This window comes from Homo sapiens, chromosome 4 (genome assembly GCF_000001405.40).
Source record: "Homo sapiens chromosome 4, GRCh38.p14 Primary Assembly".
Classification (NCBI taxonomy): Eukaryota; Metazoa; Chordata; class Mammalia; order Primates; family Hominidae; genus Homo; species Homo sapiens.
In genome coordinates, this window is record NC_000004.12 from 122667970 (window position 1) to 122693642 (window position 25673).

At 41.9% G+C, this 25673-nt stretch overlaps 1 long non-coding RNA gene across 1 annotated transcript in view; it reads left to right on the forward strand.

The window, feature by feature from the left end:
- The window catches only part of IL21-AS1 (IL21 antisense RNA 1), a 70174-nt gene extending 48987 nt beyond the window's left edge, over positions 1-21187 (forward strand). The window contains exon 11 of the long non-coding RNA NR_104126.1: positions 20568-21187. This is a non-coding gene — a long non-coding RNA (IL21 antisense RNA 1). The remainder of the gene's footprint in view (positions 1-20567) is intronic.
- The last annotated feature ends 4486 nt before the right edge of the window (positions 21188-25673 follow it).

Below are 25673 nucleotides of genomic sequence, written 5' to 3' on the forward strand. Positions count from 1 at the left end.
ATAATGTATCAAATATCTGGGTAATGCAGCCTGGCCACGTTGACACATGAAATCAACCATTACCCTATGTCCCATTCTCAACCTGGTCAGAATAATTTTCAATTTTCGAAATGTCCCATTTTCAACCTGGTCGCATAATAAACTCTACCAGACACACTCTTTTTCTCTCCCTGGCTTAGTCAGAAATTTTTATGGTTTTCACAAACTAAAATCTGGTTTGCTACATTTTTGAGAATTTAGAAGGGAAATTATTGCCTCAACTCTAACCGTAGTGTTACAAATCAATAGCAATTTTCTTTGCTAGCATAGGTGGGAAAATTATTTTCTTCAAGCTCCAAAGATTTGACGATTCCTTCCCTGCTAGTCACTATAAACAACGGCATAAATCTCTGGGATTATGGGAGTCACTTTCCCAGCATTTTAAAACAATTCCAGTTCTCTAATTCCTTTCTTTAAACTTCTAATATTGACTCATCCCTTACTCTGTTCCCTACTCTGTCTTATTCTTAACAGATGTAAGAAGAGCCCAACAGCAATTGAGTCAGAGCTGGGGAAAGATGAGAAGTTTGTGGGTCCTAACTCCCCTGATCCTAAATAATCTTGTTGGCACCAGGGATTCCACCCATGAAAGTTACCACTCTGAGTGTGTGCGTGCGTGTTGGTGTGTGTGTGTGCCTGTGTGTCTGTGTGTGTCTGTGTTTTGAAGGGAGGAGAGCAGAAATTAAGAGAAAGATGCAGAGGACATAGAAGAAAGAGGAGATTGATATTTTCTTTTTCTTAGCTCTTTGTCCCTAAATGCCTGAAAAATTAGGATTTAAAAGACGTAAGATTTTGAAAACATATGTTTGCTTTCATCTAAATCTTTCACCATCAAGATTGACATTGTGCTGGAGCCATGAAGAATGAGATGTAAAGGTTGGAGTCAGAAGAGGAAAAGGCATCCCAGGCACAGGAGTGGTGAAGAAAGCAGCCACTTTGTGGGAAAGCAGCCTGGCCAGAGTGAAGAACAGCAAGCAATGAGGCTGAACAGGCAGCCTAAAGCCACATTTTGAAGGGTCTCCAGAGCCCCACAGAGATGAAACTTGTCACAGCAGTGTTGCCATGAGACAGGAGACATGATGGGGAGATGGGTGGAATGAGAAGGAATGAACAGAAGGCCAAAGAAAGAACTTCGGGAAACCTGCTCCTGCAGTGTGAGAGGAGGAGAGTGGTGGTGTGTGTATGTTGTCCCAGGTCTGATTTTTCTCTCTGAAGTTAGGAGGCAGGTCGGATGCTGCAGGCAAGGGGAGAGAGTAGGATTGAAAGAAGATCATTCAGTTCAATTCCACAAGGATTTTGAAGCTCCTGCTCTGGACTGGCCACAATGCTAGGTGTTAGGAATACAAACATGGGTAAACCGTGGCCTGTCTTTTCAAGAAGCTTTCAGTCTTCAAGCAATAAAAAAAAAATTGTGTAAAAAAAAAAAAGTTAGTGGCACAAGACTTGGTCTCTTCCTTGACTCTGAAGGAAACCAGATTACACCACCTCAAAATATGCCTCTTTAACATAATTTTTTTACACTAAAGCAATTAAGAAGCAGATGCAGGAGAGCTCTGTCTTCCCTCTGTTTGCTTAAAAACAGGACAGAGAATTATAAAGACAAGATATCTGCCTTATTCTACCCCCTCCCACCTAAAAACAGATACAAATTCCCCTTGATAAATTCCCCTTGCTGAAGCCTGTGAGTCCAACCACTTTACTTCAGTGGCACAGTCTTGGCCAGGGCAGGACAAACCAGTCCACCAGTGCTTTTGGCACCTCCATATTTTCTTACTGGGGCACATGAGAAACATTCAGTCCCCCGAATTCCACGGTGACCTGTGGGCACTGCCTGTACCACTGAACCCTGTCTCCACTGTCCCCACACTCCACACTGAATCCCCATCAATCTGTGATTGGTGCAGCTCCTCTCTGGGTCACCTGAGAAAGTGGGTCATGTGTACTGATGCTTCAAAAGCAGCTACCAGGTTAGGCTTTTTTTTTTTTGAGACAGAGTCTCACTCTGTTGCCATCTGGAGTGCAGTGGCATTGAGAGGTTACAGCGTGCTGGCAGCCCTCACAGCCCTCGCAGCCCTTGCTTGCTCTGGACACCTCCTGGGCCCCACGCCCACTCTGGTCGTGCTTGAGGAGCCCTTCGGCCCTCTGCTGCACTGTGGGAGCCCCTTTCTGGGCTGGCCGAGGCCAGAGCCGGCTCCCTCAGGTGTGGAGGAAGAGGCGTGGGCAGGAACAAGGGCTGCCCGGGGTGCTTGCGTGCCAGTGCGAGTTCCAGGTGGGCGTGGGCTCGACGGGCCCTGTGCTCAGAGCTGCCTGCCGGTGCCGCCGGACCGGGCAGTGAGGGGCTTAGCACCCAGGCCAGCGGCTGCGGAGGGTACACCAGGTCCCCCAGCAGTGCTGGCCTGCCGGCGCTGCGCTCAAATTCTCGCTGGGCCTCAGCTGCCTCCCCATGGGGCAGGGCTCAGGACCTGCAGCCCGCCATGCCTGAGCCTCCCCTCACCGTGGGCTCCTGCAGGGCCCAAGCCTCCCCCGACGAGCGCCCCCCTGCTCCACGGCTCCTGGTCCCATCCACTGCCCAAGGGCTGAGGAGTGCAGGCGCCCTGCGGTGAGGGACTGGCAGGCAGCTCCACCTGTGGCCCCAGTGCCGGATCCACTGGGTGAAGCCAACTGGGCTCCTGAGTCTGGTGGGGACTTGGAGAATCTTTATGTCTAGCTAAGGGATTGTAAATACACCAATCAGCACTCTGTATCTAGCTCAAGGTTTGTAAATGCACCAATCAGCACTCTGTGTCTAGCTCAAGGTTTGTAAATGCACCAATCAGTGCTCTGTGTCTAGCTAATCTAGTGGGGACTGGGAGAACTTTTGTGTCTAGCTCAGGGATTGTAAATGCACCAATCAGCACCCTGTCAAAACGGACCAATCAGCTCTCTGTAAAACAGACCAATCAGCTCTCTGTAAAATGGACCAATCAGTAGGATGTGGGTGGGGCCAGATAAGGGAATAAAAGCAGGCTGCAGGAGCCAGCAGTGGCAACCCACTGGGGTGTCTTTCCACACTGTGGAAGGTTTGTTCTTTCACTCTTTGCAATAAATCTTGCTGCTGCTCACTCGTTGGGTCCACGCTGCCTTTATGAGCTGTAACACTCTCCACAAAGGTCTGTAGCTTCACTCCTGAAGCCAGCGAGACAACAAACCCACCAGAAGGAAGAAACTCTGAACACACCCGAACATCAGAAGGAACGAATTCCGGACACGCCGCCTTTAAGAACCGTAACACTCACTGCAAGGGTCCTCAGCTTCATTCTTGAAGTCAGTGAGACCAAGAACCCACCAATTCTGGACACAGCATGAACTCAGCTCACTGCAACCTCCGCCTCACAGGTTCAAGGTTCAAGTGATTCTTCTGCCTCAGCCTTCTGAGTAACTGGGATTACACGTGCGCACCACTACACCCGGCTATTTTTTGTATTTTTAGTAGAGATGGGGTTTCACCATATTAGCCAGGCTGGTCTTGAATTTGTCACCTCGTGATCTGCCCACCTTGGCCTCTGAAAGTGCTGGGATTACAGGTGTGAGCCACTCTGCCTGGCCGGTTTAGGCTTTTATGTGGGGGTGCAAGAACCTGTCTATCTGCCCTGTGCCCATCTCTACTGACAGCTTCTGGATCTTCTCCTTCCCATCATTTCTCCAGCTAAAGAGAGATTTTGAGCTTTTGACATTCTGTATGATATATCTCACTTTCTTACCTGGTTCTCAGTCACACAGAATTGGATTAATCCGAATTTTTCATTCATAATGTATTACTTTCATTGGTTTCATGCATGTTCCTCTTTTATTTTCAGTTGTTCATTTATTAATTAAATAATATAATGAGCCATCATGAAATCACCACCCAGTCCAGAAACTGAAACATTACCAGTATCTTATACCTATCTCTGTGCTTGCCGTCATCCTGCCCCTCTGCCTGTCCTCTAGAAGTAATTATTATCCTGAATTTTACACTATTTTTCTCTCTCTCTCTTTCTCTCTCTCTCACACACACAGTTCTATCACTTATATAGGCATCTGTGTACTATAACCAGCTCATACTAGTTCAAGAGAACCAAGTGTATGCGTCCCTTCTGAACTCTGGTGAGATCATGTTGGTAACTTGAAATCAGCCATGGTGGGAATATTTACAACATATAATTAGCAAGGACTGCACAGCAGAGCCCTTTTCTCCATAAGGCCAGTTTTAAACCTTTACCAACACGCCACTGCATGCATGTTCCTAAATAAAGAATGTTTGCCTCTTTTGTTCACTTGCTGTATTCCTAACACTTAGAACAATGCCCAGCACATAATAGACAGGAAGTTGTTTAATGTGTGAGTAAGTATCTTTCTCTATCTCTGTTCCTGGACCAAACTGAGGATGGGGCTGCTATTTCTCATGGCCCAATAACAAGATGCCGATGAACTGGAGAGAAAGAGAGTTTTTATTTCTGTAACCAGCTGCAGGGAGAAGGCCTGGAAATTATCGCCAGACCAACTCAAGATCACAAAGTTTTCCAGAGCTTACCTACCTTCTAAGCTATATGTCTTTGTGTAAGTGCGCATTCATCTAAAGACATATGTGATTAACTTCTTTTAGTCTGTAACTAAGGTCTGAGTCCTGAAGACCTTCCTCTGGAGCCTCAGTAAGTTTACTTAATCTAAATGGGTCCAGGTGCTGGGGTGATTACCCTTATCTTGTCTCCTGCTAAATCACGGAGGTTTGGAGAGTTCCTACAGACCCCCAATAAACTTGTTTGTGGAGGCCCAAGGAGCTTCTTCAGACCCACAATAAAACTTGTTTAATCCCAAATTGGTCCTGTTAATAATTCCTTCGTTATTTTGTCATGCTTTAAGGCCCAGGAAGGGCCTAGGCAAAACTCTTGGTGGGCTTTTGTTACATTCCAGCCTTTGTATAAGGGCACTGGCTTTTTTTAGCTTTTAACATTTAACTTAACCACTCAGTCAATAATGAAACAGTTGTTATGGAGGCCTGCATTAGTGAGACCTGGCCTGCCACATCCCTAGGGCAGTAAGTCTCATGACCTATAAGGCATGAGTGGAAGGTATTTTTTCTGCCCCCAGAAGAATTTCCATCGGGAGCTAAGTGAATTTAGAAAATTCTATCTCCTTCAGCAAAGCCTCGCTTTAGCCCAACACTATCTTCCACATAAATCCCTATTAGATATGATAAACTGAATATTAGCATTGTATGACTTTCTCCTCAGTTCAGCTAAAAACCAGTTTCTTGTCACTTGACCAGGAAACATTAGGCTCATGAACACATAGGAGGGTGAGAAAAACAGAATTTATTGGGCAAAAAAAAGACTCTCAGCAAAGCAACAGGGGTTCCTGTTAACAGGGCCGCATCTCACAGACTGAATCCCAGATTCCCACACAGGAACAGGAGAGAACAGGCTCCTCCCTGCTGCAAACAGCACGAACTTCCCAAGGCCCCACCCATCCTCCAAGTACACAGGCTGGTTGGAGATTCTCTGGGAAGCCCTTTTTACTTGACTGTCTCATTAGTGCTTCTGTTTTCTTTGCATTCCTGCTAGAACAGTACTAACCCTCTGTTAGGCAATAGATACCTCTAGAAAAATGGGGTGGGTGGGCAGTCTGTACAAGAGAATGCAAAGAAAAAATATTTCAAAAAATATTACCCCAGATACATATTACTTTTCCCAAGGACCAAAACCAAAAAGAAGGACACAGTGGCAGGCAATGGCAGATACTGAAGAGGGTAGGATATAGTGAAAGAAGCCAAGGAGAAGAGAGTATGTTTCCAGCAGAGATGTGTCTTGGAATCATGCAAATCATTTCGCAAAGGTTGGGGGTCTATTACTGTTAGCAGGACCAACTATGCTTCTCTATGTGTGTGAGGCCACAGTCTATTTGCAAGAAGTGCAGAATTAAGGAAATGCTGCTTGAATTTTAAATAGTTTATCTAAAACCTCAAAACACATATGTCATAGGTCTTATCACTATGACATCTTCCTCCCTCCTCTCCCCTCTCTCCCCCTATATGTCCCCATCTCTTCTTATTCCCTGCTCTTTTTCATTCTCCCCTTTTTCCTCTGTACTTCTCTCTTTGGTTTCTCCCTTTTTTAGACAGTCCACAATAAGGCAGGGTGCTGAGTGTGCCTGAAAGGAAAAATAAGGAAATGGACTAGAATTTCATCTTGCAGAGTTTTACATCCCTGGTGTTATCAAACTGAACCTGGGACTGCTCACACAGTACACAGCAAAACCAAATACTGACACGGGGATTTGTAGACAGAGAAGGCAAGGTGTTTATTGTAGGGCTTCAAACAAGGAGAATGGATGGCCAATGCTTGAGACCTGAGCTCCCCAGTGACTTACAAGTGTTTATAAATCAGGTGTGAGGGGCGTTCCAAAGTGAGTTAGGGGTTAAGGAATTTCTGGAATTCTTTTTCCATTTTCTGGTCTCAGTCTGTCTGAGGTCTATATTACAGTGGTTGGTATTTTCCATTTTCCATCTGGTGGTGGTCCTGGTTTCTGAAAAGCAACTCAAGGACATATGTAAAGATGTTATCTTTAGTTTTTACAGGAAACCAAACATCCTGTGGCTCTAACTTACTGTTAGATGACTATTGTTTATGCTGTGATTACCTTCTTGCTTCCCAAGTTACTTATTCACTTTTCTAATTGCTGGTTGCAGAACTAGCTAGGTGCCTGGAATTTATTTTGAAGGGATTCAAAGTTTTTATTTTTTTTAATTTCCATGCTTAGGAAGGAGGGCCAGCTGGCCCCAGAAAGGGGCCTTGTTCCATCTCACTAGGAATTGAACCACTGGATACTTTGAGTGGACACAGACGTGCTTGTGATTCTTTCTGAGTCTACTGTACATTTCTGGGGGGAAAAAGGCCATATATTGCATGTTTATTGAAATAAAATATTAATCCTGATATTTTCATGTCTTTAAGTGACTCTACAACTTTACTTTTTTCTATACTACCCCACCCCACCCTCATCATGTAACTGAAACAATCATATGTGTTTATCAAATCTTATTTCATTTTCCTCTCCTCTTCCTAGGCACATAGAAAGACAGTATTTCCCACCTCTCTTGGAACTAGGTTGAAGCCATGTGACTGGGTTTTGCCTGATGGACATAAATAAAACCTCGCCACGTGCCACCATATGCTCACCCCTCTTTTCCACCCCTCGTTTAAGATGGCAGTGTACAGGGTGCTGGATCACTGAGTCACCATTTAGAGGAGAGCCCCAAAGGGGATCCTCTAGCCCATCAGACTGTGACATGAGCAAAAAACATATTTGGTTAAGCCATTGAGCTTTCATGTTTGTTACTGCAGACTATTTGATCCTAGTCTGACACTTTTCTCAGGAACATCCTCACAAGTCCTAGATTAATTTTAATGGAACAAACATGGGTCATATGTCCATTCCAGAAATAATCATTGTGGCCAGAAAAATTTGATGCATTGATTGGCCAAGCTTGGGTCACATGTTCTATTCCTGGAGATGAACATGAACTTTGACAAACAAATGGATTGATATTGAGGTAAAAGTTGATATGCCAGAAAGAAATCATGGAGTTGTTTTTGGTTTTGTTTTTTGAGAAGTAGGAGAGGGCAAGGAGTGGACACTAATGTCTAAAAATATCGTAAGCTTTCAGGAATTATGAGTAGGCTATTTTAATAAATATTAATGGTAAGAATTAGTTTTAGGTAAGTCTGAAAGGTCAAATTAAATCCAATTTTAAAATTCTAACCCTGGAATGCCAAACTAAGGTAGGTTTTCTATTCTTAGGAAATCATGTATGTTTTTGCGTTGAGCAGTAATTTGATGAGTTTGATGAGAGGATTTATTTAAGAATAATAACTTGGTGGTAGTTTGAGATGGTGGAAAACTGGAGTTTAGAAAATTATAATAATTTGAGAATGCAAGAATGAGTGATAGTAGTAGTGATTGTAGAGGAAATTGATGCATATTGAGTTATATAAGAAAGGAAGAATTGACGGGTCTTTGTGGGGAGATAAGCAGGAAACAAGATTCAAAGGTTTGAAACTTTCACAGGGAGATTTTATTTGGGGAAAATGATACGCTTCAGGATGTTGAGTCTAAGATGCCTTTTAGATATTCAAATGGAAGACCAGTAGTTTTGCAGCTGGAATCTGGGAATAATGTGGTCTGGAGACATAGATTTGGTAGTCATCTACATAAAGATATTAGTTGATAAAATTATTTAATGAGAGTGTGGACGAAAAGCAGAAGTCTAATAATAACTCCTTGGAACTGGCTTGCCATATGCAGAAAATTGAGACTGGACCCCTTCCTCACACCTTATACAAAAATTAACTCAAGAAGGATTAAACACTTAAACATAAAACCCCAAACTGTAATAACCCTAGAAGAAAATCTAAGCAATATTCAGGACATAGGCATGGGCAAAGATTTCATGATGAAATTGCCAAAAGCAACTGCAATGAAAGCAAAAATTGACAGATGAGCTCTAATTAAACTAAAGAGCTTCTGCACAACTAAAGAAACTACCATCAGAACTAACAGGCAGTCTACACAGTGGGAGAAAATTTCTGCAATCTATTCATCTGACAAAGGTCTAATATCCAGAATCTACAAGAAACTCAAACAAATTTACAAGAAAAAAAACAAACAGCCTCATTATAAAGTGGGCAAAGGACATGAACAGATATTTCTCAAAAAAAGACATTCAGGCAGCCAACAAACATAAGAAAAAAAGCTCAACACCACCGATCATTAGAGAAATGCAAATTAAAATCACAATGAGATATCATCTCACACTGGTCAGAATGGTGATTATTAAAAAATCAAGAAACAACAGATGCTGGCGAGGTTGTGGAGAAATAGGAATGCTTTTACACTGTTGGTGGGAATGTAAATTAGTTCAACCATTGCGGAAGACAGTGTGGCAATTCCTCAAAAATCTAGAACCAGAAATACCATTTGACCCAGCAATTCCATTACTGGGTATATACCCAAATGACTATAAATCATTCTATTACAAAGTTACATGCACGCATACATTCATTGCAGCACTATTCACAATAGCAAAGACATGGAATCAACCCAAATGCCCATCAACAATAGACTGGATAAAGAAAATGTGGTACGTGTTCATCATGCAATACTATGCAGCCATAAAAAGAAATGAGATTATGTTCTTTGCAGGAACATGGATGAAGCTGGAAGCCATTATCCTTAGCAAACTAATGCAGGAACAGAAAACCAAACACCGCATATTCTCAATTATAAGTGGGAGTTGAATAATGAGAACAAATGGACACAGGGAGGGGAAAAACACACACTTGGGCTTGTCAGCGGGTGGGATGGAGAGAGGGAGAGCATTAGGAAAAATGCTAATACATGCTGGGCTTAATACCTAGGTGATGGATTGATAGGTACAGCAAATCACCATGGCACACGTTTACCTATAGAGCAAACCTGCACATCTTGCACATTGTACCCCAGAACTAAAAATAAAAATTAGAAGAAAAAAAAAGAATAACTCCTTGGGCAATAACCACCATTGTGACCCAGTAGAGGTAGGAGAAATTGACTGAAGAAGACAGAAGTAAAGAGAAGTAGGAAGACAATAAAATAGTGTGGAATCAAGGAATGGGAAAAATCTCAAGATCTCTTAAAATTGCCAAATGCTGCAGGGTAACACTAAGGAAGTCACTGGAATCTTGAAGCTCCAATAGAATGAAAACGAAGTTTCAGGAAAGCCAAATTTTGAAGTGTTAATGAGATGGCAACTGGTAAGGAAATAGCATTAAAAGGCAAGTAGGAAATAAATTAGTAGATTGAAGGTATACTACACTCAAACAAATGTTTCTGCAGAACTAAGGAATTCTGTGCATTTTTAAGTGAGAGGAAAAGAAGCCACAGAAGAGAGCTTTAGCTGTTGATATTCTAGGGTTTTTTGATTTTTTGAGCGTTTCTTTGGTTTTGTTTGGTTTTGTTTTTCAGAAAACTAGTGATAATGTTACCATTTATTGCCACCTAATATGTGTCAAGCACTGCAATAGATACTTTTCACTTATATTTTACCAATTATTGTACCTATTTTATAGATAAGGAAATGAAAAATTAGGGGCATATTCTGACAAAAATCAGCCATCTGTTAAATGGTGGAGCAGAGAATCTGCTACTTGGTGTGCATTCACTTTCCATTATGCCTCCCAGTCTCCAAAATGCCAATAGTGCTGGCATGAGATAATCTATCAGAAACTCCTCAGGAAATGATAGATGAAATGAAAGAGCCTGGATATAATCCAAAAAGATTTCCAGAGATTTCTAATAAGAGCCCTAAGAATTTATTTCAGCAAAATGAAGTCCCCTGAGGCTTCTCTTCTGTGCCCATTTACTATAGGTGATAACATGTAGTTAGATATGCCTTGAAATTTGTATCAGGAATAAATTAGTTTGAAGGTAAGCAAGCTTATTTTCTTTTATCAGATAAAAGAATATATAATCTTTTTGCCTTTTAAATTAGGAAAAACCAGAAACCAAATTAATTACTCTGCTGAGATAAGAGATGGACTCCAATACTCAAACATATGTATTCCCCAGCAACTTTGTTTTTCTTTCATTTTTTCCTGTTTTATGCTTATTTTTAAGTTCTTAAGTTCTTTGGAGATCCTTTGGGAAAGTGAGTGGTATATATGTAGGTTTATGTTTTATATACTATCTCATTGGTTGGTTGTTGTCTCTGGAGAGAGCTGAAGAATTGATAGGTTTTTAACAGGAACATATGCTAGTGAGGATATTCCAGGTGGAAAGATAATATAGACAAATGAGCAGAAAGCAAGCTAGCCCTGAGAGTTTCAGAGCACAAAGAGTTTGATGATGTTATAGAAATACAGAATAGAATTTTCAAATTAATAAGTTGTGGCTTACCATGCAGAAAGGAGAAGAGAGTCTAAAAATCCCCTAGATAGATAGAGTGGACAGCTCTATACTCTCAGCTTGCCTTAAAGTTAGAAATGACATTGTGTGTATTCTTATGCAAATCAATATGCAGAACTAACCTAACAGTGCAAACAAGCCATCCAGAATCTTTATCCAAGAATTTTTTGTCTTCCCAAGAAACTCTTTGGTGTCTTCAGGGGTTATTGTAACACAGTGAAGTTTTGGGCAGGGATACCTTGAACCCAGAAGGGAGGGTTTTGAACAAGGTATCTTGTGACACAGGGAAGTATGGATACTTCTGGAAGAGAAGGAGTTCATAAGGGCTTCATTGATGGTTCATGAGACACATGTAGGGGAATAGTAGGAGATGGGGGCTAGAAAGGAAAGTTTAGGTCACAATTGAGGACTGTGAATGTCAGACAGAGGAATCTGTACAGCAGAAGCTCTTTTAATGGATGCCCAATCAGTTCGCTCCTTAGATAATCAATGCTTCTCATTCTGTCTGTAGAACTTGTTCACTGATGCCCCCTGTGCCTGAGCTTGGGAGATTAGTCAGCCTTTCTCCACAGCTGCTGGCATTTCTGATCCCATTATCTGAATTCAAGGCTTACCAAGAATCCATTGCCTTTGCTCCTAAGCCTGTTGTGCCTTCTGTATTTGTAACTGGAATTATGTAACGTAATTTAATGCTATGTAACTTGATAAATTATGAATGTAGAGGAAATGATGGAAGAAGATTTTCTGTGACACGTAAGTACAATGCTTTGGAGATAACTGATAAAAATTGATTACCTAAAATAATTGATGTCAAATTAACTGTGAATAAGAAAGTTATTTTTTTAATTGGAGAAAATAACTAAAACTCCAGAAAGAGGCCTGGTGCAGTGGCTCATGCCTATAATACTACCACTTGGGAAGCCAAGGCAGGAGAATTTCTTGAGCCCAATTGCTTGAGCCCAGGAGTTCAACACCAGCCTGGACAACATAGCAAGACCCATCGCCAATATATTTTAAAATAATAATAATAAATAAAAATAAAACCCCAGAAGCATTCTGGGCTTAGATTGCTTTACAGTTATCTTTAAAGTTTTATTCCACTTTAAAGCAATTGAAACCACAGATCATAAGATGATGGAATCTGAGTGTGGTTAGATAAGGAGGCACCTTTGAACTCCACCAGAGGACTCATGCTCAAGACTGGGCCCTGGCTCCTAGCACATGTGGCTGCCCATGTTTCACATCAAATATAAAATATTAGGGTGTTTACACAGCATTTCTATGATTCTCTATTTTAACTGATATGTTCTATTGATCTCTTGAGAAGCCACGAAAGATTTTCAAGCAAGGAAGTGACATATTTAAGACAATTAAGGTATAATTTATTTCTAATTATTAAACATTTTAGGCCATGTGCAGTGGTTTATATCTGTAATCCCAGCACTTTGGGAGGTCGAGGCAAGATTGTTTGAGGCCAGGTGTTGGAGATCAGCCTGGACAACAGCATGAGACCTCGTCTCTTAAAAAAAAAATTAATCTGCCTTTCAACATGAAAACTTCAATACAGGAGAACTGAAAATATGTTCACTTGAAGGATGACTTAAATAGAATTCCTTCCATAATTTGATTTGAAATCAAGGTATGAAGACAGCAAGACGTTGTGGGTAAGAATTCAGGTGCTGAAGGCTGACTAATAGCTTTAAATCCTGGCATTACCACCGATATGGTTTGGCTCTGTGTCTCCACACAAATCTCATGTTGAATTGTAATTCCCAGTGTTGGAGGAGGAGCCTGGTGGGAGGTGACTGAATCATGAGGAAGGACATCCCCCTTGCTGTTCTTGTGATAGAGTTCTTACGAGATCTGGTTGTGTGAAGTGTATAGCACCTTCCCCTTCCCTCTCAATCTCTCTTCTGCTGGCCATGTGAAGATGTGCTTACTTCCCCTTCACCTTCCTCTATGATTGTAAGTTTCTTGAGGCCTTCCCAGAAGCAGAAGCCTGTACAGCCCACAGAACCATAGCCAATTAAACCTTTTTTCTTTATACTCAGTGTCAGGTATGTCTTTATAGCAGTGTGAGAAAGGATTAATAAAGAAAACTTGTACCAGAGAAGTAGAGCATTGCTATAAAGATACCTGAAAATGTGGAAGCAACATTGGAACTGGGTAATGGGCAGAGGTTGGAACAGTTTGGAGAGTTCAGAAGAGGACAGAAAGATGAAGGAAAGTTTGGAATTTCCTAGAGACTTGTTGAATGATTGTAACCAAAATGCTGATAGTGAAATGGACAACGAAGTCCAGGCTGAAGAAGTCTCAGATGGAGATGAGGAACTTATTGGGAACTGGAGTAAAGGTCACTCTTGCTATGCTTTAGCAAAGGGACTGGCTGCATTGTACCCCTGCTCTAGGGATCTGTGGAACTTTGAACTTGAGAGAGATGATTTAGGGTAATCTGACAGAAGAAATTTCTAAGCAGCAAAGCATTCAAGATGTGACCTGGCTTCTGCTAACAGCATAGGCTCATATGCATGCACAAAGAGATTATCTGAGACTGGAACTTATATTTAAAAGGGAAGCAGAGCATAAAAGTTTGAAAAATTTGTAGCCTGACCATGTGGTAGAAAAGAAAAACATATTTTCCATGAAGGAATTCAAGCCAGCTGCAGAAATTTGCAAAAGTAAAGAGGAGCCGAATGTTAATACTCAAGACAATGGGGAAAAAGCCTCAAAGTCATTTCAGAAACCTTCTCGGCAGCCCCTCCCATCACAGGCCCAGAGGCCTAGGAGAGAAAAATGGTTTTGTGAGCCAGGTCCAGGGCCCCACTGCTCTGCACAGCCTCAGGACATGGCATCTTGTGTCCCAGACACTCCAGCTGTGGCTAAAAGGGGCCAACGTACAGTTCATGCTGCTGTTCCAGAGGGTGCAAGCCACCAAGCTGAAAGCCACCAAGGCTTCCACATGGTGGTAAGCTTGCAGGTGCACAGAGGGCAAGAGTTGATGTTTGGAAGTCTCTGCCTAGATTTCAGAGGACATGTGGAAACAACTGGATGTTCAGGCAGAAGTCTACTGCAAGAGCAGAACTCTTATGGAGAACCTCTACTAGGGCAGTGAGGAAGGGAAATGTGGGGTTGCAGCCCCCACACAGAGTCCTCACTGGGGCACTGCCTACTGGAGCTGTGAGAAGAGGGCCACCATTCTCCACACCCCAGAATGGAAAAGCCACAGGCACTGAACGCCAGTCTGTGAAAGTAGCCATGGGGGTTGTACCCCTGCAGAGCCACAGGGGTGGAGTTTCCCAACATCTTGGGAGCCCACCTCTTGCATCAGTGTTGCCTGGATATGAGACATGGAGTCAAAGGAGATAATTTTGGAGCTTTAATATTTAATGACTGCCCTGCTAGGTTTCAGACTTGCATGGGGCCTGTAGCCTCTTTGTTTTGGCCAATTTCTGCCCTTTGGAATGGGAACATTTACCCAATGCCTGTATGTCCATTGTATCTTGGAAGTAACTAACTTCTTTTTGATTTTACAGGCTCATAGACAGAAGGGACTCGGTTTGTCTCAGATGAGACTTTGGACTTGGATTTTTGGGTTAATACTGGAGTGACTTAAGACTTTGGGGGACTGTTGGTAAGGCATGATTTTGTTTTGAAATGTGAAAAGGAAATGAAATTTGGGAGGGGCCAGTGTTACCAAAAAGGGGTCCAGATCGAGACCCCACGAGACAGTTCTTGAATCTTGCACAAGAAAGAATTCAGGGTGAATCCATAGAGTAAAGTGAAAGCAAGTTTATTAAGAAAGTGAAGGAATAAAAGAATGGCTACTCCATAGGCAGAGCAACCCCAAGGGCTACTGGTTGCCCATTTTTATATTTATTTCTTGATGATATGCTAAACGAGGGGTGGATCATTCATGTCTTCCCTTTTAGACCACATAGGGTAACTTCCTGACATTGCCATGGCATTTGTAAACTGTCATGGTGCTGGTGGGAGTATAGCACTGAGGATGATCAGAGGTCAGTCTTGTTGCCATCTTGGTTTTGGTGGGTTTTAGCTGGCTTCTTTACTGCAAACTGTTTTGTCAGCAAGGTCTCTATGACCTGTATCTTGGTCTGACCTCCTATTTCATCCTGTGACTTAGAATGCCTTAACCACCTGGGAATGTTGCCCAGTATGTCTTAGCCTCATTTTGCCCAGCCTCTATTCAAGATGAAGTTGCTCTGGTATGCACATCTCTGACACTGGGGCAGAATGTTATGGTTTGGCTCTATTTCCCTGCCTAAATCTCATGCTGAATTGTAATTCCAAATGTTGAGTGAGGGACCTGGTGAGAGGTGATTGGATCATGGGGGCAAATTTCCCCCTTGCTGTTCTCATGATAGTCAGTGAGTTCTTATGAGATCTGATGGTTTAAAAGTGTGTAACACTTCCTCCTTAGCTCTCTTTCTCTCCTTCTCTGCCATCTGAAGCTTGTGCCTGCCTCCTCTTTACCTTCTACCATGATTGTAAGTTTCCTGAGGCCTCCTCAGCCATGCCTTCTATACAGCCTGTGGAACTGTGAGTGAATTGAACCTCTACTCTCCATAAGTTACCCAGTCTCAGATATGTCTTTATAGCAGTGTGAGAATGGACTAATACAATCAACAATAGGTTCTTGCTGTGACCACTTAGATCTCAGGAAGGGAATGGGGCCAAGAGTGTGTTCCCTCCCTGAAACAGTTCCTTCTCACAGTCTTCCAGGTGCTCTCCATATTCGATTAAGGGGTTGAGAGGGTCACTGTGCTCTCCCATGGCCTAAATTATACATTTCTCCAGTGGGAAAGTGAACCAAAGAAACATACTCACTCTCTCTTGTACTGGGGACTCACCTTCCAGTTCCTAGCCAGTCCCAGCTACACAGGCTGATTGGTTTCATTCTCCTTTCTAGATTTTGGAGTTATTTTTCACTTTTCGGGGAGGTGATTGAATCATGGGGGCAGACTTCCCCCTTGCTGTTCTTGTGAGAGAGTTCTCACGAGATCCGGTTGTTTGAAAGTGTGTAGCACCTCCCTATTCTCTATCTCTGTCTCTCCTGCCAGCCATGTGAAGATGTGCCTGCTTCCCTTTTGCCTTTTGCCATGATTGTAAGTTTCCTGAGGCCTCCCCAGAAGCAGAAGCTTGTACAACCCACGGAACCATGAGCTGATTAAACTTAATTTCTTTATAAATTACCCAATCTCAGGTATGCCTTTATAGGAGTGTGAGAATGGACTAATACACCCCCCTACCAGGGTTTGGCTTTGGGCAAGTTAGTTGGCCTCTCTTTGCCTCGGGTTTCTCATGCCTTAAAGGAGGATAAGAATAGAACCTACTTAAGAGGAATGAAGCAGACACTTTTACTATTACTGTTATTATTAAAGAAAAATCAGGATAGATGTGTCTGTTGATCACAGAGTGGGGCAAAGATTAAAGATACTCATGCCAGACTCAAGAGTATATAATACTGTGCCTAACATAAGAGGGTAAGGATTTTGGTGAATTTGCATTGTACCTTTCTATAATAAAATATTACTAGAAAATAACCCCATACAGTGAACACACAAACCCCCAGAAAACACTACTTTATCACCCTGATGCTTTACTATTTACCAGACTGGCCAATTTTCAGCTCCTCTGAGCATCTGTTCTTGTACAAGGATGATCTAGTCAAGTGGGAGTCTCCTTCATGGCCAATGAAGTTTTGATCTTCCCCCAGCTTCTTATATTGAGGCCATTTTTTTCTCTGGTATTATTTTAGACACAGATGTCCTACATAAACTTTAGCCCAGAAGAGAATTATTTAGTAAGTCAAAAGCAATTACTAAAATCTGTCATTGGCTGAAGGTCACATTGTAAGTAAAAAGCAAAGTTTTCTACTATGCTGCAGCTACTTAAAAAGCAGAAAAAAATACCAGATTGTTTTCAGTAAATAAATTTTATAGGACCACCAGTTTCCATTGCCCATTACACAATAACAAACCAATACACCAAAATAAGGAGAGCTGCAGCAGAGAGTTTAATGATCATATGACAGCCAAATGAGGAGGTGGGCGGTAACCTCAAATCTGCTTCCCTGAGAAGTTTTGGGCCAGGGGTTTTAAGGGAATTTTGATGAGTAAGGGGCTGAGGAGCTGGAAGTCACTGATTGGTTAGGGTGTGGGGAATGAAATCATAAGGATATAGAAGCTGCATTCTTGCACTGGGTCAGTTCCTCAGAGGGAGTCTTCAGATTGGCTTGTGTCAGTGAATCCATTGGAATGCCGGATCTGGAAAATATCTCAAAATGGAAATCTGAGGTTCCTTAATGTTAAAGATGTTATCTATAGAAGTTAGGACCTTGTAACAGGGGCTAGGTGATTTCTAAGCAGTAAACAGCTATAAGGAAGCAGTCTATAGGGCAAGCTGCTATGCTTCTACTCAAATCTTATGCTTTTGTTAAAAACCTAGTAATTTAGTTTTATTAATTTTATGGGGATGATTTCAGAAATAAAATGTAATATATGCAAATACTGATTTTTCTCAAAACAATTGAACTCATGGAGATAGAGAATAGAAGGATGGTTACCAGAGAAAAGGCAGTGGGTGGGTGGGTGGGGAAAAGTTGGAATGGCTAATGTGTACCAAAAAAGTAGTTAGAAAGAATAAATAAGGCTGGACGTGGTAGCTCACGGCTGTAATCCCAGCAATTTGGGAGGCTGAGGTGGTTGGATCACTTGAGCTCAGGAGTTCGAGACTGGCCTGGCCAACATGGTGAAACCGCGTCTGTATTAAAAATGCAAAATAATTAGCTGGGCATGGTGGTGCGTGCCTGTAATCCCAGCTACTCAGGAGGCTGAGGCAGGAGAATCGCTTGAACCTGGGAGGCAGAAGTTGCAGTGAGCTGAGATCATGCCATTGCACTCCAGCCTGGGTGATAGAGTGAGACTCCATCTCAAAAAAATAAAATAAAATAAAATAAATAAGAGGTAGTATTTGATAGCACAACACAGGAACTATAGTCAATCCTAATTTAATTGTACATTTTAAAATAACTAAAAGAGCATAATTGGATTGTTTGTAACACAAAAATACTTGAGGAGATGAATACCCAATTTTCCATGATGTGATTATTATAAATTACATGCCTGTACCAAAATATCTCATGTACCCAATAAATATAAATAGCAGCCAGGCACAGTGGCTCACGCCTGTAATCCCAGCACTTTAGGAGGCCAAGGCAGGCAAATCACTTGAGGTCAAGAGTTCAAGACCAGCCTAACCAACATGGAGAAATAGCATCTCTACTAAAAATACAAAATTCGCCGGGCATGGTGGCACGTGCCTGTAATCCCAGCTACTCAGGAGGATGAGGCAGGAGAATCTCTTGAACCCGGGAGGCGGAGGTTGCAGTGAGCCGAGATCGCACCATTGCACTCCAGCCTAGGCAACAAGTGCGAAACTCTGTCTCAAAATAAATAAATAAATACCTATGTACCCACAAAAAATTGAAAATAAAAACAAAATACTGACTTTTCTGAGGACCCAGTCTTGCTATGATTCTCCAAGACTCAGAAATACTTTTGAACGTTCATATGTGTGTGTGTGTGTGTGTGTGTGTGTGTGTGTGTGTGTGTGCATGGACTTACATATGCACATTAACATATACAGAATAAAAGACATGCAAAATTCAGAACTCCTCACATCCTTAAAAAGATATTCTGAGTCGCGTGTCCTTCATCTTTCATGGTTAAAATGGCTTTTATGAATGTTCCTGTAGCATAATAAGAAGTACGTATTTGGTCTCTGCCCCTGGTTCCTGGCACAGAGCTTCTAAATTCTCATAACTTACTAAGTGATGGAGTGATGGGAGTATCTTTTGTTATTTTTGGTCTTAGTCTCAGGTTTCTGAAACCAGAACTTCTAAAACCCTTAGAATCTCTAGAGTGGTAAGAGTGTCTTTTTGTTTATATTAATGATATGACTGGTGGCTGAAAGCCCCTAGATATCTTCAGGATGAGGGCTAACTGCCAGAGCAACCAACAATGTGATTAGAAGATTAGAAATTTCTGCCCCTATACCTGCTACCCCACCTCTGGGGGGAGGGAGAAGGAATGGAGATTGAATTCAACCACCCATGGCCTATGGTTTAATCAATCATGCCTACTTATTGGAACCTCCACAAAACCCTAATCAATGGAGTTTGGAGGACTCCTGGCTTGGTGAATACAAGAGGTGCTGGGAGGGTGGCATGCCCAGAGAGAGCCTGGAAGCTTCCTGCCACTCTTCCATACTTTGCCCTATGCTTCTCTTTGTCTGGCTGTTTATTTGCATCGTTTAGAATATCCTTTGTAATAAATCGGTAATAGTAAATAAAGCACTCTATCTGAATTCTGTGAGGTGTTCTTACAAATTATCAGACCTAAGGAGGGGGTCATGAGACACCCTAATTTATAGCCGATTGGTCAGAAACATAGGTCACAACCTGGGACTTTCAACTCGTTTCTGAAAGAGGAGGCAGTCTTGTGGGACTAAGCCCTTAACCTTTGGGGCCTGCCCTAGCTCTGGGTGGGTAGCATCATAATTGAATTGAAGGATACTCACTTGGTGTCTCAAGAGTTGGAAAATTGCTTAATGTAAGAGAAAGACGCACACATTTGATGTCAAATGTGAAGTGGTGAATAGCAGAGAAAAAGAGTTTTATTTTTAGTCCCTGAGCTGTGTGGATATCTGTCACATTGTCAGTCAAATAAAATATGTAGAGATGAAGATCTAAATTTAACATTTCAAAATTCAAGCATTGCAATTCAGGGCATACACACAGACCCCACAGACCAGATGGTCTTTGGTATGTTTGAAGAACAAAGAGGAGGTTGGAAGTTTTATGAAAAGGAGAAGTGGTGTGTATTGTTTTTCCAGAAAATTGATTGACACTAGTAAGGTTCTGGGGAGCTGGCTTGCTCTGAGTGGTGAGTGATGAAAGTGGTGGGTAAAACTATTCTTAGAATCACAGCACGTTGTTTCAGATGATTACAGAAGACAGTTTCAGCAGCCAGGGTTACAGAGAATGACATTCTTGGAGCAATTTTATGTGCCCTGAGTGCTTTTCCCCACTGGCTTCTGGACTCTGGGTTAGTTAGGTGTCAGAAGAATGACCCAGTTCATCTGGTCAGTTTTCACAACGTTCAGTCATGGACATGGTTCTGTATCTTACCAAGTTTCACAGTGAACAGTGAGGAGAAATCTAAAAAGAAAGAAAAAGAGAGGGAAGGAGGGAGGGTGGGAAGGAAAGGAGAAAGGGAGGGAGGGAGGAAGGGAGGGAGATTCATTGCCCATTATTACCATAAGTGAAAAGTAACAGAAACTGTAGGTGGGGATAGTCTTTCTGGGACATTCCAGCATATAAACAATCCCCAAATAGCAGAAGCTGTTTTGGGGCATCTCTCCTTCTCTCTAGCTCCATCCTGGTTGAGCTGGAGCTCGCTGCAGGGAGAACCCACAGAGAGAGGGCGAGAATGGTGTGCCAGTCTGGCTTTTCCATTTCCTCTCTTTGTTTCTGTGTTTCCACTTTGCAGTTTCCTTGATTCAGAGAAAGAAGATAAAAACACATACAAAGAGACGGCACCAGCTCCTTTCCCAGTTGTGACCAGATTGCACGATACCCAAGCCATGGCTCCAAAGAGTGCGTGTACTGAAGCCTGGCCATTCATGACAGACTCATTTCCACACCTGAGTCCGGTTTTGCTCTGTGAGTGTTGGGCTTTCTCCAAGGGAATGGTTGGAGCTGTTGCGAGCGAACTTCCTGGCTGCCACAGAGTTGATTGGATTCCTTGGAAATGCACACTCACAGGCTGCTGCTCTTTGAAGCTGTCTCCTTCACTGGCCATGATTCTCCTGTCTCATTAGCTGTTGCCTATGACCCTGGTGTCGTTTTCTCCTTTTACTCATCAACACCCAAATCCACAGGGTTGTGATGGATTAGCAGCCTTTCTTATTAGCAAGAAGCCCTGTGGCCTCAAGAGGCAAAATGAATCGTGGTTAGAAATCTCCATCTCCTCCCTCCCTTGGTATAATGCCATCATTTAACTATCTGAAAATAGAGAAGACTCCGTTCCAATTGTAAAGCCCTAAGGAGAAAAACTGAGTTTGAAACTTTCCTTAATTATGCTGATATTTAACAATAAACTTTGTAGTATGAAAATCTCATCTCACTGTCCAGTATATTCTTTCACTTTCTTTTTAAATCAAGAGAAAAATGTGTTTGAACTTTCTTGAGTTATGCCAGGGTTTAAAATAAGTATGTGTAAAATATGTATGTGTGTATATATATATGCATGCACACACACATATATATGTTGCAAATATGTGTGAATATATATGTAGATTTTTGAATTCAAAAATCACTACTCAATATATTGATTATGTGTTTGAAGATATAAGAAGAGAGTACTGTTATTAATGTCACTTTCTGCCAATGTCTATAATTGCTACTTGCGGGTAAGGTTGCTTTGTTTTGTTTTGTTTTTCCTTCTGGTCTTGGAGTGTCATGGAAGGAGTGGGGTTTTATTTGTTTCATAAGAATCCTCTATCAGTATTATCAGTTTCTTGGGTGAGTGGGAAAAACAGACACCTCTCCCTTACTCCTGTATCCTTCCATGTGGAGAGAGTACCTTTCCCCTCGCACGCTACCCCTTTACTCATCTGTCCATTAGAGGAAGATGGGCTTTGTGGAAGATTGTTTGCAAAGGCGATCACAATAATTCCTCCCTCCCCAGGACCTTTACAATGTGGATTTGGCACTCCTCCCATCAAGAGGTGAAATTAATTTCTCCACCCTTTCCATCTGGCTGGTACTGTGACTTGCTTTCACCCACAGTATGTGTGCAAGTGATGGGCTGTCGCTTCAGAACCTCTCAGCCTCCAGCGGCCTTGCAGCTTCTGCTCTCAACCTTGTGTGCTGCTTCTACGTAAAGAAGCGCAGACTAGACTTCTTAATGATGAGAGGCTGCATGAGAAAGGGTCCAGCTAACAGCCAAAACCAATAGCCATATGTGGGCTTCTACCTACTTTCTACCCTCCAGCCCCAGGTGAGCTGCAGATGACTGCAGCTACATGTGTGCCCCAGACAAGACCAGCAGAATGGCCTCCCAAATGGGCCCAGTGAAAACTGCTGACATTGTGAACAGAGAGAATGGTGGTTGTTTGAAACCACTAAGTTTTCAGGTGGTTTTTAAGCAGCAGTAGATAATGGATACAGACTTAATCTGATTGGTGATCAGAAAGAGAATGAGGGTGCACAGCCCAACCCCTTTCTCTCACTCTCTGTTTGACAGGAGGCAGCCCACTGAAAATCCAAGTTCTCTCTTCCTCCCCCAGACCATAATCTTACAGTGCATCACTACTGATGCACTGATATATATATTTTGCCAAGTGCTAAAGGGCTGGAAATTAAAGTCAATATTTGACTGAAGCCAAGGCCAAAACCGAATATTGCCATTAAAAACTTCTAGGAATCAAGAATCAATATGAAAAAAATACAACCTGTAAAATTATTGTAATAATTTTAATTATGTAGTCATAGTTTTGAAATTCTATTAGTAAAATTAAGATATGTTTTAAATATTTAATTTGCTTCTAACAATGTATTCCATTTTGCATGACAGAATTGAAAGTAAGTTGTCAAGATTTTGAATTTTTCCCTCCTCATGAAATTTTAAGGTGTCAATAATGAGAATTTAATGCATCCTTATAAGATGCAAAAAATTCCCAAATAGGACTTTTTATTGAAAACACGTAGTATCCTTATATAGGATTTGGCCATGACACTTTCAGTTACTCATGTGAATTTCATCTTCCTGATTCTTAGGAGATTTTGTCCAAACAACTCCGATTATTTCTGTATAGAAAAATAACATAAAATAAAGTGATTTCTTTTTCTGAATTTTTCTTACTCTATTTGCCTGCCTCACTTTCATCTGGACCTTCTTTTTTCTTCATCTCTTGTTCCTTCCTGGTCCATTTTGATTCAGCTCCCACTGTTTTGCCTGAGTGTGGGGCCCGGTCAGGAAGGTGGGAAGCTGGTGCAGCCGGGCTTACCAAAGGTCCTTTGTCTCTCCTGCTAATTGAGGGCAAACCCAACCCTGTTCCTGCTGCTGCTCTCACATGGGCCCATACCTGCTGACCCCATACCTGCTGACCATGTTGGGGTCTTCCGTTGTGAGGCTGTCACTTGTTCCTGTGGCTTCCTCCTGCTTTCCCCTGCATAGATGCTGACAATGCACAGGTCTTATGGCTCTTAGTGGTTTATATTTTGGGGCTCAGTAAGTACCTTGTCACTTGGTTGTGTTGTAAATGTTGTCCATTGGTTTTTTAATTTTACCGTCTTTTTAAATGTGGGAATTCGAGAAGATCTAAAAGCTATGCCACTTCTACCACCATCTTTTCTACCGTCATCTTTTCAGAATTTGTTAAGAAGTTTAAACATAAGTTCAATGTAGACTATTTGCCCATAATTTGAAACTGAATATTCAGATATTTATTCAAATCAGGGTAAATCCAAATGGCACCTCCTGTTCACATCTCTTATTTGTGTTACTGTTACTGTTACACTGATTAGCTCCGATGGTTACCTCATGATGATATCACATGATCTCTGATTACCCGTAAGTTCCAGGATGTAAGAAATAACCTGAAAGCTGGATCTGTCAGTGAGCCCCTTGATAAAATGCAAAAGCCATGATAGAACTTCGGAGCATCCTTATTAATCAGTGATGTGTGTGTGGTGTGGTTGCCTGCCACTGGGTGGGTAAATTGAATTCGGGCTTCAGTATTAGGAAGCCCCCCCACCGCACATAGGTAGAAACCATGTCTTCCAGCCAAGATTTTATCAGTTTAAAAAGAAAGCTTCGTTTTACCTTCAGATGCCAACAAACTCCTTTATATCTGTTTTTTATTACTTCAGAACTTGTATAGGGAGAATTTTTTTTATTATTTGAAAAACAAACTACGATAGAATATTGGAGTTCATCTTAACACCTGGAGATAAAAGCATTTGGCAGGGCCAGGGAGAGTAACTTTAAGTTTCTGTAGGTCGTGCTAGGTGTTAGGGGTTGTGAATTGTGCCTCCCACACTCTGGCAAAGAAACACTGTGTTGATATCCTAATCCCCAGTACCTCAGAATGTGACCTTATTTGAAGACGGGGTTGTTGCAGATAAAATTCGTTAAGATGAAGTCATGCGTAGGGTGGAGCCCTAATCCAATGTGACTGATGTCCTTATGAGAAAATGGCCATGAAGACAGAGACAGAGGGAGCAATGAAAGCAGAAATCAAAGTTGTGTCATTGCAAGTTAAGGAATTCCAAAGATTGCCAGCAAACAAACCATCAGAAGTTAGGAAGAAGCAAGGAGGGATTTTTTTTACAGGTTTTGGAAGGAGCACGGTCCTGCTGACACCTTGATTTTAGCCTTCTACCTCCACAGCTGTGAGACAATAGGTTTTTATTGTTTTAAGCCACACAGTTTATGATACTTTGCTAAGGTCACCCTAAGAAATTAATACATTAAGTCAAGTCTATGGGGGTGTCATAGTCAGCTTTGGCTGCTATAACAAAATATCATAGACTAGGTGACTTAAATAACAGATATTTATTTCTTACAGTTCTGGAGGCTGAGAAGTCCAACATCAAGGAGCTGGTAGATTTTGTTGCTGGTAAGGGCCCTCTTTCTGGCTTGCACATGGCTACCTTCTCATTGTGTCCTCACATGGCAAAGAGGGAGAGAGAGAGAGGTGTTAGGAGCTCTCGGGTGTCTCTTCTTCTTTGTACAAGGACACTCATCCCACCATGGGGGTCCCACCCTCATGACCTCATCTCAACCTAATTACTTCCCAAAGGTTCCACCTCCAGACCACATCACACTGGGAGTTAGGGCTTCAATATACGAATTTTGGGGGGACACAAACATTCAGGGGAACAGCAGACTTCTTAACTTTGTGGTCTTCAGCCTGTATTGGGCAATACAGCTAGGTTTTGCAGTCACAGAGATGGCTTTTAACTCCTGCAGCCTAGACAAGAGACTCTAAACTTTGGGCCACATGGAGGTTTTCACCTTGGCTGGTCACTGCAACTTCTGGCATCTTTATCCACAAGTAAGTAATTGTTTTCCCACAAAAGAGTTGTTCTTTTTAAAATAGGCTGCTAGAGTGTTAGCAAAGGTTTGGGTCTCAGATTTCCACAAAAGATATGATACAAAGAATCTCACTTGCTTTTATGTTGAATTCAAAACTCATCACCCAAGAATTTGAAAGCAGCTAATACCTACTAATGTCTCTCTGCAGAAAAATCTCACTTTTTCCTTTCATTGACTGTTTGCTTTAGTCACATGAGCTAAGATAAAGCTTTACTCAGTTCTGTGTCAAATTGCAGCGGTTTGAGCCTAGAGAAATCCTTAAAGCACATATCTTTTTGTAATAATCCTATTAAGTAACTCTGAATTATTACCCAAGAATTCACACTCACTCTCCATGGAGAAGAAATACCTTTGCAAATTATGCCAAATATCTACCTAAAAGCTGTCACCTGGGCTTTGCTCAAGTATCATCTCTTCAATTTCAGAATCAATCTCATAGCTTACAGACAACATTTTCGTGGAGATAATTCCCTGAAAATTTGGATGGAATAT